Below are 15,104 nucleotides of genomic sequence, written 5' to 3' on the forward strand. Positions count from 1 at the left end.
TTCAGCACATATTTAGGATGCCTGCTCTAAATATCCAGTTTTCCAAAGGGTGTAGAGGTACCCAGCATTCTTAGGTTTCTATGCTCTTATCTGTCCAATCTCCGTGTCAATTAATTACTGTTTAAACATTAAACACTAAAGAAACCCTTTACTGCTTTGAAGTACACACACACACACACACACACACACACACAGGGAGAGAGAGAGAGAGAGAGAGAATCCCTTCAATTGTAACATCAGTACTGCACCTAGATATCTGACAGGAGAAGTGTAAAGGATTAAGTTTGACCCCTGGGACATCAAAAGTCCACCCTGGGAAAGGAAAGGGATGAGGCTATTGGAGGTTCTTTCCTCAGAGGTAAGCCAAGGAGCTCCACAAAGGTGACCAGAAGCTGACATGGCTCTTCCTGAAATCTCGAGTTAGAATTATGCTATTAGCAAAAATAATAGCAGCACCTATTCACTCATTCCTCCTCCAGGGAGCTGAGAGTTTCTTACGAATGGGATCTCATCATCCCCAAAGTATAAGCAAGGAAAAGTAGGGATCATTCCTTCGGTTTGGGAGAAAAAAGACTCAGAGGTCACTGGACATCTCAAAGACAGAGACTGACCAGGCCTGCCCTTCTCCAGCCAGCTCTGGGGGCTGCTGAAATGCCATGTGACAGTGAACAGCTGCCACCAAGGCCCTTAACAAAACTTCCAGGGACTCAAAACTTAGCTTAGGCTGCTAAGCTTGAAGAAACTCAGTCAATTGCAGGGAGACGTCAGCCCTGAGGGACAGCAGAGCCATGAGTAAGAGTGTGCACTGGCTTGCTCAGCCATCATTAGCTGTGAGACCATGGGAAAATTACTGCCCCTCTCTGAGTGCCCATGTCCTGGGGAAACTAAAAGTAACTACCTTACAAAGTGGTTAATGTTTACATACTGCTAAACATTGGATGAACATTGGCTAAATAAGATAAAGGGGTTCCTAATGTAACTGACACTATTATCATTCATCGTAAATCCCATAATCTACAGGGCATTTAACATTTTGCGCAGCACCTCACACCCATTATCCATTTGACATCTGGAGCAACTCTGTGCAGTGGTGGTGGTCATGGTGGTTTTGTTATTGTTATTATCCCCATATTACGAGTAAGTGGGGGGCCACACACCCAGGCATCCTGGGATGGAACCCAGCATCCCATTCAGTTAGTGAATCCCTCTCACCCTCATAAACAGCTGAGCTTACACAGTAAGTTGTGTGGTCACCCCAGTAATGAGGAAAAAGAACAGAGAGGTTAGGTCACATCCTGACATCACAAAGTGACTGGAAGAGCTAGGCCTGAACTTCCAACCCAGGGCTCTTAGCCAGCTGGACTGGGAGAAATGATGCCCTGAGCAATGGGTCATAGGTCATCATGGCTGTCCTCCCACTGGACAGTCTGGGGGCCACCCAGTTATCAGTATTAGTGATTTTGTGAAAATGCCAACATTTACAAATCAAGAATTCCCAACTTTTTGTTGTTGTTGTTCCTTAATTCACAGTCACTTTTGGCTTTTTTTTTTTCTTTTTTCTTAGAGACAGGGTCTCCCTCTGTCACCTAGGCTGTAGTGCAGTGATGCAATCATGGCTCACTGCAGACTCAACCTCCTGGGCTCAAGCGATCCTCCTGCCTCAGCTTCCCAAGTAGCTGGGACCACAGGTGCGTGCCACCATGCCTGGCTAATTTTAATTTTTTTTTTTTTGTAGAGACAGGGTCTCTCTATGTTGCACAGGCTGGTCTCAAACTCCTGGCCTCAAGGGATCCTCCTGCCTCAGCCTCCCAAAGCACTGGGATTACAGTCATAAGCCACCACGCCTGGCCCACTTACGGTTTTTCTTGAAGGAGAAGAAGGCCTGGGAGCACAGACTCTGCATCTGGCATGTGGAAGATGGAGCTCAGCTGGGGCTTCTTGGAGGAGGGACCCCCACCCCCCTGCATGCCCAGCACCCCAGGACTTCCCTCACCATTAGGGGGTGTCCCGGGCCTTGGAGACATCTGTGTTTGCCTGGTGGCTGAGAGCCGGCAGCAGGGCTTAGACTCCCAGCTCCCCCACTTACTATGTGTGTGACCTTAGCCAAGTGAATGACCCTTGCTCAATTTTACAGATGGAGAAACCTGTCTCAGTTTTCACATCTGTAAAATGGGGATGACTATTTATAGACCCAACTATAGAGTTGTTTTAAAGATGAAATCAGTGAATATCTGTAAGGCGTTATATATGACAAATGTTCTATAATGCCTAAAATAGTCACTGGCTACTGGCTCCCAAATCACCATAAGGTGGTCACAGGACAAGGAGAGGCTGGCAATGGCTGGAATGGTTTGAGGGGACACAAGACACAGTGTCACCTCCCTGAGCCCTGATTGATAACCAACAGGGTCTAAGCTAAACCTACAGTTACCCGTGCACAAGATGGTTTTCAAACAAAGCAAACTCAACCTGCCAAAATTCTCAGAGGGCCCCTGCCATTTACAATCCCAGGACATCAGCCCTGAAAGGAGCTTCAAGACCCCTCATTATACAGATGGAGCCCAACGCTCTCATTACACAAACAGAGAATCTAAGGTACTGGGAGCCATCCATGGCTTGGATGTGGGTCCCTCAGCTCATGGTGGAGGGGGTGGGGGATGAGGCTCAGACTCCCAGAACACTCCCTCCCCCGCCCCCACATGGCTGCTGGACATGCAGGGCAAGGACGCGTCCACCTTTCCCCTTGAAGCCTCTGACCTCGCAGAACACACAGCCTGCCAGGCAGCTCCATCCCTTAGACAAATTTACTTAGCACTGATATTGAAAATGCAATTGAGCTCGAGTTTTATTGCAGAAATTAAACAGACTAGGAAAGGGGAAAAAAAAAAAGCCAGTGCTCATCAGCTCACCCGAGAGCTGGCTGTGATCAAACTTGCTAAAGAGGAGCCTAGTGATCAACTCCTGCCAGCAAGGAAGAGCCCCCCAAGTCTGCCCCTACAAGGGACTCCCCAGGGGCACGAGGAGCTCAGGAGCTCCGGAAGGTTCTCCTGCCAGCCTCCTGGCGTGGACCTCCTGCGCACCCTGACATCGCCTGCCCGCCTCTTCACAAGGAGTTGGCGCCTTGTGAAGTCATCTCCGTGAGCTTCATGAAGCAACACCGCCAAGGGCCTGAGCAAAGGGCGCTCTGCTCCACTCGAGTGAAAGCAAAATGCTTTCGGGGTTGAATCACTGTTTTTCTTGACTCCCTTTGGAGATCGGCAGAGCCCACATTCGGCCGTGTTCGTGGACCTGGGACTGGAAACAGCTGCGCTCTAATTACATGTAAAGTGTACCAAAACATCCCTTTTATCACAGACTGGAAATCTGTTAGCATCTGCCTCTCCTTTGTTTCTTCCACAAGATACAAGCTTGTTTCTACATTTTTCTCACCTGTAGCAGTGATTAAAATTCATTATAAATGAAAGGAGTGAACAGAGAAACAAGTTCCTCTGTGTACCGTTCTAAACTCAAATTAGAAACAGCTGTTTGCTAATTCATGCAGTGATGTTTTGTCGTGCTCTGTGAATCAATAATAACTCACCCTATTGCTGCAGAAATTTTTGGATAATCCACATATTTAACGCGGCATTGGATTCTCCAGGCAGGGCTGCAGCGGCAAAACCTCAGGCGGGTGGGAGGGGACTTGGGGTCCCCACTCTGGAGGCGTCCCCTGCTGCCCAGACAGAGAACCCCTAACTCAGAGCTGCCCAGCACCTCTACCCACTACACAAGTCTTGGGAGGACCTGAAGGAAACCCTGAACAGGCGCCTCATCTCCTTCCCTCCCCAAGAACCACCAAAAAAAAAAAAAAAAAAAAGAATTCAACTCTGATTAAACGCAAACCACACACATCCTCCAGCCGCCGGAGGGAACAGCAAAATTAAAAGTCTAATTGGTACCCGGAACAATTTAAAACTATTAAGTATAGGTGAAGCTTTTCTGTAAGAAAATAATCCTCTGATTGGGATTAGGCATGTTTGGATAGCATTTTTCCCATCCACACATTTTAGCTGCAGAAGTTACAGCTAAGGTCTGGACATGCTCAGGAGCCTCTGAGAAGTGTTCAGTCATCCCCTTTGCCACCTCCAGGGAAAGGGGTGGGTGGGGTGCAGAGCTGCATCCCCATCTGATGGCTTAGAGGGAAGCAGATGCTCTCTCTCCTTTGCAGGGAGGGAGATGGACAACACTTTTGGAGGCTTGTACTGCCACTGTGGCATGCCAAACCTACTCTATCCTGGCTAACACATGCCCATCCTTCAAGACACTGCCTCCCGGAAGCCTTCCCTGACTGCCTCTGTCATCCTCCCTGACTTCAGGGCACTACCTGTTTATATTTGAGTGGTTGGGGTGTCCCTGTGTCTCCTGCATCTTTCTAGGTCTGGGGCATTGTCATAGTGAACCACTTTTTGAACTTCAGACTGGTAGCCTCTGCAGAGCCCTTTCTGTGGCCAGACACAGTGCCAAGCTCTTCGTAAGCTCCATTTTGTTAAACTCTCACCTGCATCCTATGTGGTGACCACTACCACCATTAACCCCCATCTTACAGATCAGACATCTGAGACATAGAGAGGGCGAGGGCCCTGACTTCCACAGCAATTAAGTAGAAGGAGCTTGGAATGACTCCATAGATCTCCAGAAAGCCATCAAGACCACCCACTGTCATCAAAGATGTATACCGAGCATGCCTCACCTGCTCCAGCTCCTGAGCCTTCATTCAGGCCATGGTGGTCACTGCCCCCGAAAGCCCAACCCATGACTTGGGGGCCAGCTCTGCCCACCTCCCCAAGCATCTCACAGGTGGTGGTGGGAAGGGTGGTCTCCTGCATGGCTAAGAGTAGGTCCTCATTTCCTCCTTTCCTGGTGTTCATCTGGGCCTACAGAAGATGGCAGTCCAATACGTCCTGGGGGGCGTAGAGCACAGGCCCCAGGCAGGGGCATGGACAAGGAGCTCATGCTGTCCCTGCAGGGTTGTAGGGAGCTTTCCCTTAGCCAAGGCCACTGGGTGCCAGAAGCTCCAAGCCCGGGAGGGCTGGGAATGGAAATGCACAGATGAGGTGCCATCATGGGAGGCAGGAGCACTCAAATTGGGCTTTGAAGAAGGAGTAGGAGCTCCACTGATCTGTGTTCTTCCAAACATGGGCTACCTCCCATTGGTAGGACCCGTGATCATTTTAGGGCGCAGCCAAGATGGTCTTAAATAACCCTGATGCACAAATGAGAAAGTTAGCGCCCTTTCCATTCTGTTGTCAGCCTTCAGATTAGGCCAGGGAGAAAGGCTGTCTCTAACTCCTCTCCAGCATTTCAGCAAAAGAGAGGGCAGAGTCCACGCTTAGCATTTCCAGAACACAGCAGCTCATGTCTGGAATAGTGTGAGCATGGAATTTTCTTCGGTTTTGTTTTTTATTTACTTTTAAGGTTACTGTCATCTTACAGTAAATGATACTGGTTTTCCATTTGCAGAATTAAGTAAATTAATTAATTTAACCACAAAAGAGCCAGCAAAGACAAATACTAGGTGAATCATAGCATCAGTGATACTCAAATGTTGCAAGAATCACAGTAGAGATATGCAAATGACTAAAGCCTGGGACCTCCAGATACAGAGAGATGGGAGGAGAAGGCCTCCTGGGAGAAGCAATGGCGGGAGCCATGGCTGAAGCTTGGGTATCAGTGGGAGAAGCAGCTTAGAAGGTGCAATGAGAGCCCATCGTCAAGACCTTAAATACCAAGCCAAGGAGCCAAGAACTCCATTCCACAGGCCCTGGCAACCACCAACACTATCTGAAACACTAGCTCATGAGTAAGTGGGATCTGGACTCCCCAGCCCAGGGCTCTTTCTAGACCTCCCATAACTCCAGGTCTGCGAATGACTGAGAGTTAAACAATCACTAGCCTATAAGCAGAACCCATTTCAAGGAAAACAGTGATCAGTGACCCCAACGACCCAGGGCTCTCAACAGCCAAGATCAGGTGCCCCTGCAGGAGAAAACCCCTGCACAATCAGCATGGGGTCCCCTTCCACGTGGGGGCTGAACACTCAAGTCACTGTGGACAGCAGAAGTATCAACTCCCCTCACAAGGATCCCTGCTGGGGCACTGAGGGGGATGGGCGCACCACCTTTCAGTGAGTCCAACCCAGCCAGCTTTTCCTCCACTTTTGGAATAAATTGCCATGTCCTCTGTGTGAAAGAGCCAAGGTGTTCCCAAATACACACCATGGACCTCAACATGCTGAACAGGTGTCTGCTCCCACAGGAGGGGAGTGTGGAAGCCGAAAGCCCAGAACAGCATCCATCTCACGGTCACTTCGCCCCTGAACCCACACCACTGAATTATTTTTCTTCCACAAACCCACGCAGTCATTCCCTTGCAGAGCACATACAATTGAAGCACTGAATGCTAAGTGGGTGCACGAGGTAACTCCAGTGGGGTTTTGTTCATCGGGTCCAGGGCAAGTCTCCAACTCTCCAAGTGTCTGTCCCACCTCCCTCTCTCCTCCCACCCCCACCCTGGCTACCTAGGGACCCGAGTCAAAGGTCTTCTGACTTCCAGTCCTCCATCCCATCTACACTGCAAATCCTTCTGACAGTGGTGCCCCACGTTGGGGCAGTGTAGGTGAGACGGAGGACTGAATGCAGCTGGTTTATGTGACTTTCTTACCAGAGATGCAGACAGAGGAAGCTCTCAATGCGAATAAAGAATGGGCAAGCGGAGGCCAGGTGCAGTGGCTCGTGCCTGTAATCCCACACACTTTGGGAGGCTGAGGCGGGTGGATCACCTGAGGTCAGGAGTTCAAGACCAGCCTGGCCAACATGGTGAAACCCCGTCTCTACTAAAATTATAAAAATTAGCCAGGTGTGGTGGTGCACGCCTGTAACCCCAATTACTCGGGAGGCTAAGGCAAGAGGATTGCTTGAACCCAGGGGGCAGAGGTTGCAGTGAGCCAAGACTGTACCACTGCATCCAGCCTGGATGACAGAGCAAGACTCTGTCTTAAAAAAAAAAGAAAAAAAAAGGCAAGTGGGTAAATGGATGACCAAGTTCATCTTATAATTTTCCCAAAAGCCAGTATCAGAGAAAACCCCATAATGCCTCCAAGCTAGAACTCTGAGCTTAGACCAACTGGCGACACTGAAGAATAATTAATAGATTATACTTTGTATTCTATATCATACATTGCATATGTACGTATAGGTCTAATCAATGATGTTTATTAAGTGCCACATATTTCTTGGGTGTTTGATCCATGTCACGTGTTGTCTCATTTTATTTTTTGTCTCCAAGAAAAAAAATGAGTTGTCTCATTTTAATATTCACAGCAATCTGATGTGTTCCTATTACCAGCCCCATTTTATAGATGAGAAAACTGAGGCTTATAAAGGTTAATTGACAGGCTCAGGGCCTTACAGGTGGAGATGGCCTAGCAGGGCTTTGAACATGGATTCCCTGACCTCAGAGGCTGTGTTCCTAACCACCGCGGGATATGAGTTTATGAACCACCATGTCCCAGGGAAAGAGAGGGAGTGACACCCGTTCAGGGGCACAAGCATTCTGCCAAGGAGGTGGCCTCCCGTGGAGCCCAGCCTGACAGGATGTCTGGATTGGGTCCGTATTCTCAGCCTGGACACCTCTCAGGGTGACACGCTCCTTTGGCTGGAGACTTCCACAGACAAGCGGCACACACTGTGTGACCTCAAATCACAGATCCCCTGCTTCTCAGTCAAATCCCATCCAGGACCTAGCCCCAGGGTCCCACCCCAAGTATCTGGAGGATGGAGAAACTCCCCAAAAACACTCCCTGTCTCCAGCCATGTGCCAGGTGCCCTCCAGCAGCTCCAGGAGACAGTCATGAGCTTGGTCCAATTTTATGGAAGGGAACGCTGAGGGACAGAGGAACTCAGGGACCTGATGTGTGCATCATGGCCAGTGGCCCCCTGGGAATTCAGCAGCTGCAGGGACAGTCTGAGTAAAAGAGCCTGAGGCCCCACCTCCAGGTGTCTGCCTGTCTCAAGTCTGACCCCAAAGGGAGGGGAGGTGATGCCCCCAGGGGCAACCTTCACCTAAAAGGGCCTGGAGCCAGTGGGCTCCTCTGAAGACCATTCCTGGGGCACCCTGCAGACACGAAGGTTTTGGCAGTTTCAAGCCCAGTGGTCTACAGCAGCAGGCTCAACACTGCACCCCAAAATCGGCCTTTCCCTGGCCCTGTCTCCTCCGTCCTACTTCCTGGGAGTGCCTCCTCGCCACATATGTGCACTAAGTCCTTGCTTCAGGCTCTGTGTTCAGGGGTCCTCCCTGCAACACTGACTAAGGTACAACTGCCACAGATGGTGGTGTCAGACTTGGAAGCCATGTCTTTCAGCCTGCATAGCCTCCTCCACAGCCCCTAATCTGCACCTGCCAGGATTTGCCATGCTCAAGTCACTGAGAGGCCACCGTCAGGGTCTGTGTCCTATACTATTACTCAACCTTGTCCTTTCAACGACCTCAGGACTAACAATGTCAGGTACCCAAGTGTAATCCTAAATCATGATATTGATGAAATCATGAGTATGATGTTTTTGTAATGCCCATTAAAATAAAGATGTAATTGGGTTAAACATGCATGAACCACCAGAAACTGGGCTGGGCAGCCCTAGATGTGGCGCAAGTCCTGCTGCCCTGGCCCATACTGCAGTGACTGCAGCTCTTGGTCTGTCCCTCTCCCCCTCCAGACAGGGCAGTGCAGGGACGAGGGCGCACCTTCATAGCTGCTGTGTCCCCAGCACCGTGCCTGGCCAGAGGCAGGCAGGAGAGAAGAGGTGGGCTGGGCGCTGCAAGGAGCCCGGGGCCTGAGGAGGGCCAGGAAGAGAAGAGCCAGAGCATTTTCAAGGATGTGCTGGGCTAGCCAGGCGGCCCCTCTGAGGGCCCCACTCACCCCTAAACTCATCCAAATCTACAACACGACAGAGGAAATTCCAATTTTCCCGATTTTCATGTTTCCACCCCTAGAGTAATTGTCGTCGTGGACTTTGTAGCTGGGCTGTTGAGCCTCATGGCTGAAGGCTGCCCCAGCCCTGCCCGTGATGGGCAGGAGATGAAAACGACTCATCAGGCCTGGGGAAGGCTCTGGGATATGGCAGCAGCAGCAGAGAGGCAGCCACCTGGCCCTGGACCACCACGAGGAGGAGGAGTTCCAGTTTGTTTGGCCAGCACGTCAGGTCCCTGAAGGCAGCTGTGGCAGGGCATTCCCCTGACTGGATTCCGGAGTGTGGGGCAGGGCCCCTGAAGTCCTAGGCATCAAGGCTGGGGCATGTGGGTCCCCCACCCTTTCCCAGCATCGCTGACTCTTTCCTTGGAACCCCCGCCCCAGCACCCTGCCTGTCCCTGCTTTCTCAGCCCGAGTGGCCACCACCTCCTCCCACTGGAACCAGGCCCTCATCTGTGTGCCTCATTATGTGCTCCTGCTCACAAACAGACCTGAATATCAGCCACACTCACCAGACACTTCCTACGTGCCGGGCTTTCTTAAAATCTATATTATTTATTTACTCACTCATATTAGTCTTTGATGTTTTACTTGTTTTAGCGGGGGGTGGTTTGGGTTTTTAAATTTGAAATAGAGTCCCACTCTGTCGCCCAGGCTGCAGTGCAGTGGCGCAATCATAGCTCACTGTGGCCTCAACCTCCTAGGCTCATGTGATCCTCCCACCTCAGCCTCCCAAGTAGCTGGGACTACAGGTGTGCCACCACTCCTGGCTAATTTTTTATATTTTTTTGTAGAAATGAGGACTCGCTATGTATGTTGCCAGGCTGATCTCAAACTCCTGGGCTAAACCAATCCTCCTGCCTCAGCCTGCCAAAGTGTCAGAATTGCAGGCGTGAGCCACTGTGCTCGGCCGTTTTACTATTTAATGCATTTAAGCCACACATAATCCTTTCACTAGACCCCCCATTTTACGATGTATTGTGCATTGTACACATCGGGATACTGAGGCCCTTGAGGTCTGAGGGAGGGACTTGCCCCAGGGCAGAGTCCGGCAGAGCCAGGAGAATCTGGCCACCTGACTCATCAGCCATATGAAATGTTGAGATGTGGGGTTTATGGGAAACACACCCCTGACACACATACTCTCAAGAGGAGGCCGGGTGGACAGTGTAATGCAGGGGAGAGAGAAACTGATGGAGAGCGATCAGTCACCCCAGATCCTGCACATGGCACACGAGGGGCTTCAGGTGCCCACCGCTGCAGGCACTGGTACCCTCCTCATAGAGGGGTCTGGGAAGGGGAGATGCCACCCCCAGCCCAGCTCAGGCTGACGGCACCCCTGTGGGTGGTGCTGGGCCTACAGTCTGCCACAGGCAGCTCCACGGTCCCCAAATGGTCCCCAGCTCCTCCCAGCACCCAGCACACAGTAGGCCCTCAATATTTGCCAAATGAGTCAATGGATGCACACTTTAGTCAGGCCACTCGTCAGGGTGGGGTGCAGGGCCAGAAGGGAGCTGCACCTTCCTTCCTCCTCCTCCACCCGCAATATACCTCTCAACCACTTCCCTTATGCTTTTTTATCTTCTTCCAAGAATGTGATTAAGGTTTCCTCACAGGTACTCCTGGCTTCGAACTGCCTGGAGACAATTCTGATAAGCCCTGGATTCCTGGATCCCTGGATCCCTGGGAGCCCCCACAAGGTGCCTGGCAATAACTATCTGCTCAATGACTGAATGAATGAATGGATGAAAGGGTACCTGGCCTACGGGAAGCTCTTGGTAACTGTGGCATGAATAAATGAATAAATGGATGGATGGATGGATGAAATACTGAAGTCCAGGGCTTCGTCTAAAGGAGGCACTTGAAAACTATGGTATGAATGAATTCAGAATGAGAAAATGAGAAAACGAATGAATGAATGAATGAATGAATGAATGAATAGTCTAATCACAAAGAAGCAGCAAGGAGCCACTCAAGAGGCCCCTGTAAGGTGGGGCCTAGGAGTTGGGGACAGAGCCTCCAGCTGGAAGCCAGGGAGTATATAAGCCTGACCTGACCACCCTCCTGACCACCTGGGTCCAGTGGGGCTGCCCCCAGCAGAGCCTGTCCAGCATCACCAAGGTCCCTCGGGCCCCCTCTCATTATGGCAGAATGCAATTACTCCAGTCTTCAGTGGGGTCTGAATTTGTTATGATTTTATTTGAAAGAGCCTCTTGGAGCCAGGGAAGCAGCAAGGGTGTGGGGGTCAGGAAGCACGGACGGAGGCAGAAGGAACAGCTCAGCTACACAGCCTCAGCCTGAATCCCAGAGAAATGACATTAAAACAAAGGAGACACAGAGCTGGGGCAGGGTGTGGGGGGATGGGGGGGGAGCTTACTTATTCAGACCAGAGCCAAACAAATGGATAGATTTAATAAGATAATAAGCTCAGATTCCATGCTCTTAAAGATACAGACTGGGGCTGGGCATGGTGACTCACACCTATAATCCCAGCACTTTGGGAGGCCAAGGAGGGTGGATCACCTGAGGTTAGGCGTTCAAGACCAGCCTGGCCAACATGGTGAAACCTTGTCTCTACTAAAAATACAAAAATTAGCTAGGTGTGATGGTGGGCGCCTGTAATCCCAGCTACTCAGGAGGCTGAAGCAGAATTACTTGAACCTGGGACGCAGAGGTTGCAGTAAGCCGAGATCGCACCATTGCACTCCAGCCCAGGCGACACAGTGAGACTTCATCTCAAAAAAAAAAAAAAAAAGACACAGACTCAACAGTGGGATTTGGGGTGGGAGTCTCCATATTTTTCCGGGAAAACACCCCTCAAGTGGATGCCTTTCTTCACACACCACACTGGAGAATAAGGGTATGTGAATATGCATGTATATGCTTGCAGGCATGTGTGTCTTCCCCACCAGGGGGGACCCCCAAAACTCACCAGAAACCTCCTTACTTCCTAACCAGGACCTGTGAACAAATGCACCCCTCCACAAGGAACACACAGCCAAGCAGTGCCCTTGTAATTTTTTCAGGAGGAATTCGGGCCAGCCAAGCACAAGTCGGTGTCACCTCCTTCCCAGCCTGGGCTTCCCTGTCTCTGTCCAATGGACCAACAGTAAAAAGTGAGCACTTCCCGCTCATCTTGGGAAACACCTCGCATCCACTCACTCAATCAGCCAGCGACTGCACTGTTGAAATATTTATGGAGTGCCTCTTCTGTGCCAGGCTCTGCTGCAATTCCTGGGGCAGTGAGCACACCCAGCAAAGCCCTGCACCATGGAGGCTGCATTCCGGGGGCATCAGGATCATGTCCAGGAAGGCTCTGGAGCCAGAGAGCCTCCGTTCAAATCTCAGCTCTACCACTGACCAGTGGTGTAAACCAGGATACGTTAATGGACCTCTCTAATCTTCACCAAGAGGGAAAACAGGCAGAATCCCTTCTGCCTCCTCGGGTTGTGCACAGGATGAGATCAGATACCGCAGGTTAAGCACACTGGCCCAGCGCCTGGTACATGGCACATGCTCAATGAACAGATCATTGTGTGTGGTTTCCAGTCCAGTGGCAGCAAACACAGAGACCGCTGGGCAGAGCCGTGGTTCACTGTGAGACCCCCGCCCTTGGGGAACTCCACCCCCACTCCCAGGTTACCCTTCTCGCGGGCATCCCCAATTTACCACCTCCTTATGTCATTCCTGCCAATGTCATGTCATAAAGAAAGCCAGTCCCCCTGAAGGGCTCTGGTCCACCCCAAAAAGTCCTTAAATCCCTTCTACAAAGAGGTTTGGTCCCTTCCAATGAAGGGGAATCCACTCCCTTCTGAACTCCCTTAGTCTGCAGGAAGAAATGATCTCCTGATGAGCCCCAAAGGAGGGCCTGCTGACCTCCTCTCAGGGACAGGAATAACAGGACCCTCTGACTCCAACCATCCTCCAAGAGGAAGGACAAACAGCGAGTCACCTGCGATATGGCAGCCATTTTTTAAAATGACATTGCAATTTACATTCATTTATTCCTTCTATAAATACGAATAAGTGCCTACTCTGCCAGCCCTGTTCGAGGCTCTGGGGATAGGGTATGAAGAAACAAAGTCCTTGCCCTCAGTGAGCTTACAATGCAAAGAGAGGAGACTAAATCTTCCTGCTGAAGAAGGAATAAATCAGTCCGTAGTAAATCACGTGTTGCTATGAAGAAGTGCAGGGCAGGAAAAGGGTGAAGGGTGGGGTGCCACTCTGGACAGGTGACAAGGCGACACTTGAGCAGACACCAGAAGCAAACAAGGCAGCAGGCCAAGGCAGAATCTAGAGAGAGAGGATCCCAGGCAGGGATCTAGCAGGTGCAAGCACCCCAAAGCCAGAGCATGCAAACTTTTCAGGGCACATTTTCTGAGATGCCCACGTGGGGCTCAGTGTGAAGGCATGTGCCCTGCCTTCTAAGATCACAGGCCAAGCTGTCATCCAAAACCCCACAGGGACCCAAAATCCAACCCCAGCATCAACTCACTGTATGATCTGACTCTGGTCTCTCAACCTCTCTGGTCTTGGTTTCGGCAACAGCTAATCAGAACTGAGCATTATCCAAGCAGGCGCTGGCAGAGGAGGCCCCCAGAGTCCTCCCGAGTCTGCAGCTCTATGCAAAGCGCACCCACCATTCCTCTCCACCCCATCGCGCCATTCTCACACCCCGCGCCAGCAACACCACGCAGGATTGGTACTCCTGCCAAAATAGCTATTAACCCAGTAGCCAATAATAACACGTTATCCTATCAATTTGCTTCTGAAACGCTGTGTAATTGCAGAACCTAAGTTTGCCATCTCGGTAGCCTGGTTACCACATAAACAGAAAGAAACTCACCAGCCTCTTCCTGAGGAGAACAAGTGGCTGGCCACGAGAAACACCCGATTACCACTGAGGCCCCCCAGCCCACCCCCCTCGAGGCCCTACAGAATCCATCAGGAATCATAGTCTGGCATTCAGTACTTCAGAGGCTAGTCTCAATGTCCCCTTGGCATGCCGCCCCTGTGACTGGAGAGGGGACCAGTGCCCGGGATGGGATGGCTTTTTAGGTGGCAAAGTCAGGCCCGGCAGCTGCACTCTGGTGGCCTCCCTCCCGGCCAGTGGTGCAGGAAGTGGGACAGACATGAGGCTTCAGGAGGGCACGGGAGAGGGCAGGAGCCAGAGGCAGGCAAGCACTTGAGTGCAAAAACCATCACAGATGCAAGCCAGCCCTCCCCACGGGAGACAGAGGGGACAGGAGGTCAATGGGTGGGGCACAGAGGGAAGGACAGGAGAGAGGCAAGGGAGGGACTCCAGACCTAGGAGTCAGGGTGCACCCCAGGGCCCTCCCCATCCCCATGCCGCAGGGCCCCACCCAGGTCTGACACCCTGGCCACCACCACCTGCTTGGCAGCTGGCCGCCCACTTTTCCTCTCTCATTCCAGAAAAAAACGTTTCCTTCCTTCTGGATTTCATTCCACTCTGAGCAAACATTCCACTCCCCAACGCGCCGGGAGCCTCTAAGGGGACTCGGCGTTCCGGTGCAGACACCAGCCTGTTTTATTCATTCTTCCCCCTTCCAACCCAGCCACCCCCTCATCACTGTCCCATGCCTCCGCTTACCTTTCCCCCTGCTCACCAGGGCGTCCCAGGGCAAACTGGCCGATGCCAAGAGGGCCAGAACCTGAGCCCGGGTTCCCAGCACCCGGCGGCAGGGCAGGCGAGGGCTGGAGAGGCGCTTCCCACCGGCCCACTGGTGATCTCAGCCACGGGACGCATCCCCACCCGGCCGCCTGGGCCGGCGGAGAAGGATGGGCCGAGGGTGTGCTGCTCCCGCGGCGGCGCTTGGCGGAGGACCCAGCTAGCGGGAGAGGAAGGGCCTTGGGGAAGAAAAGGGGCTGGGAAAAGGCACAGATGGGGAGGGAGAGGACAGAGGAGGCCCAGGGCTCAGGCCACGCGGCCAGATGTTGACCCAGTTGAGGGATCCAGGCCCCGGGGGCGACCGAGGAGTTCTGGCTCCCCTGCCAGCTCTGAGATTCTACAGAGATGGAGGAGGGCCTGGGGCCGGCGCCATGCCAGGGCCTGGTGCTGAGGCTGGGGTTAAAGGGAGGA

At 51.8% G+C, this 15,104-nt stretch overlaps 1 protein-coding gene across 14 annotated transcripts in view, besides 4 other annotated features; it reads right to left on the reverse strand.

Annotated features, from left to right (window-relative positions):
• The window catches only part of ZNF423 (zinc finger protein 423), a 371,756-nt gene that overhangs the window by 161,952 nt on the left and 194,700 nt on the right, over positions 1-15,104 (reverse strand). Inside the window, exon 1 of one of the 14 annotated variants that reach the window (NM_001330533.2) lies at positions 14,616-14,849. The exons of the other annotated variants lie outside the window; for them this stretch is intronic. The gene's annotated coding sequence lies outside the window, so the exon portion shown is untranslated. Of the gene's footprint in view, positions 1-14,615; positions 14,850-15,104 lie in introns of those variants that run through there. 14 annotated transcript variants of the gene reach the window in all.
• Positions 11,777-12,278: an enhancer, noted in NCBI's record as "H3K4me1 hESC enhancer chr16:49695163-49695664 (GRCh37/hg19 assembly coordinates)". NCBI's record gives its function as "activates a minimal SCP1, AML or CMV promoter by ChIP-STARR-seq in primed H9 embryonic stem cells {active_cell/tissue: H9 hESC(primed)}" and the evidence as "EXISTENCE:reporter gene assay evidence [ECO:0000049][PMID:30033119]".
• Positions 12,279-12,778: an enhancer, noted in NCBI's record as "H3K4me1 hESC enhancer chr16:49695665-49696164 (GRCh37/hg19 assembly coordinates)". NCBI's record gives its function as "activates a minimal SCP1, AML or CMV promoter by ChIP-STARR-seq in primed H9 embryonic stem cells {active_cell/tissue: H9 hESC(primed)}" and the evidence as "EXISTENCE:reporter gene assay evidence [ECO:0000049][PMID:30033119]".
• Positions 13,585-14,119: an enhancer, noted in NCBI's record as "H3K4me1 hESC enhancer chr16:49696971-49697505 (GRCh37/hg19 assembly coordinates)". NCBI's record gives its function as "activates a minimal SCP1, AML or CMV promoter by ChIP-STARR-seq in primed H9 embryonic stem cells {active_cell/tissue: H9 hESC(primed)}" and the evidence as "EXISTENCE:reporter gene assay evidence [ECO:0000049][PMID:30033119]".
• Positions 14,120-14,653: an enhancer, noted in NCBI's record as "H3K27ac-H3K4me1 hESC enhancer chr16:49697506-49698039 (GRCh37/hg19 assembly coordinates)". NCBI's record gives its function as "activates a minimal SCP1, AML or CMV promoter by ChIP-STARR-seq in primed H9 embryonic stem cells {active_cell/tissue: H9 hESC(primed)}" and the evidence as "EXISTENCE:reporter gene assay evidence [ECO:0000049][PMID:30033119]".

The sequence above is a fragment of the Homo sapiens genome, chromosome 16 (genome assembly GCF_000001405.40).
Source record: "Homo sapiens chromosome 16, GRCh38.p14 Primary Assembly".
Taxonomy (NCBI): domain Eukaryota; kingdom Metazoa; phylum Chordata; class Mammalia; order Primates; family Hominidae; genus Homo; species Homo sapiens.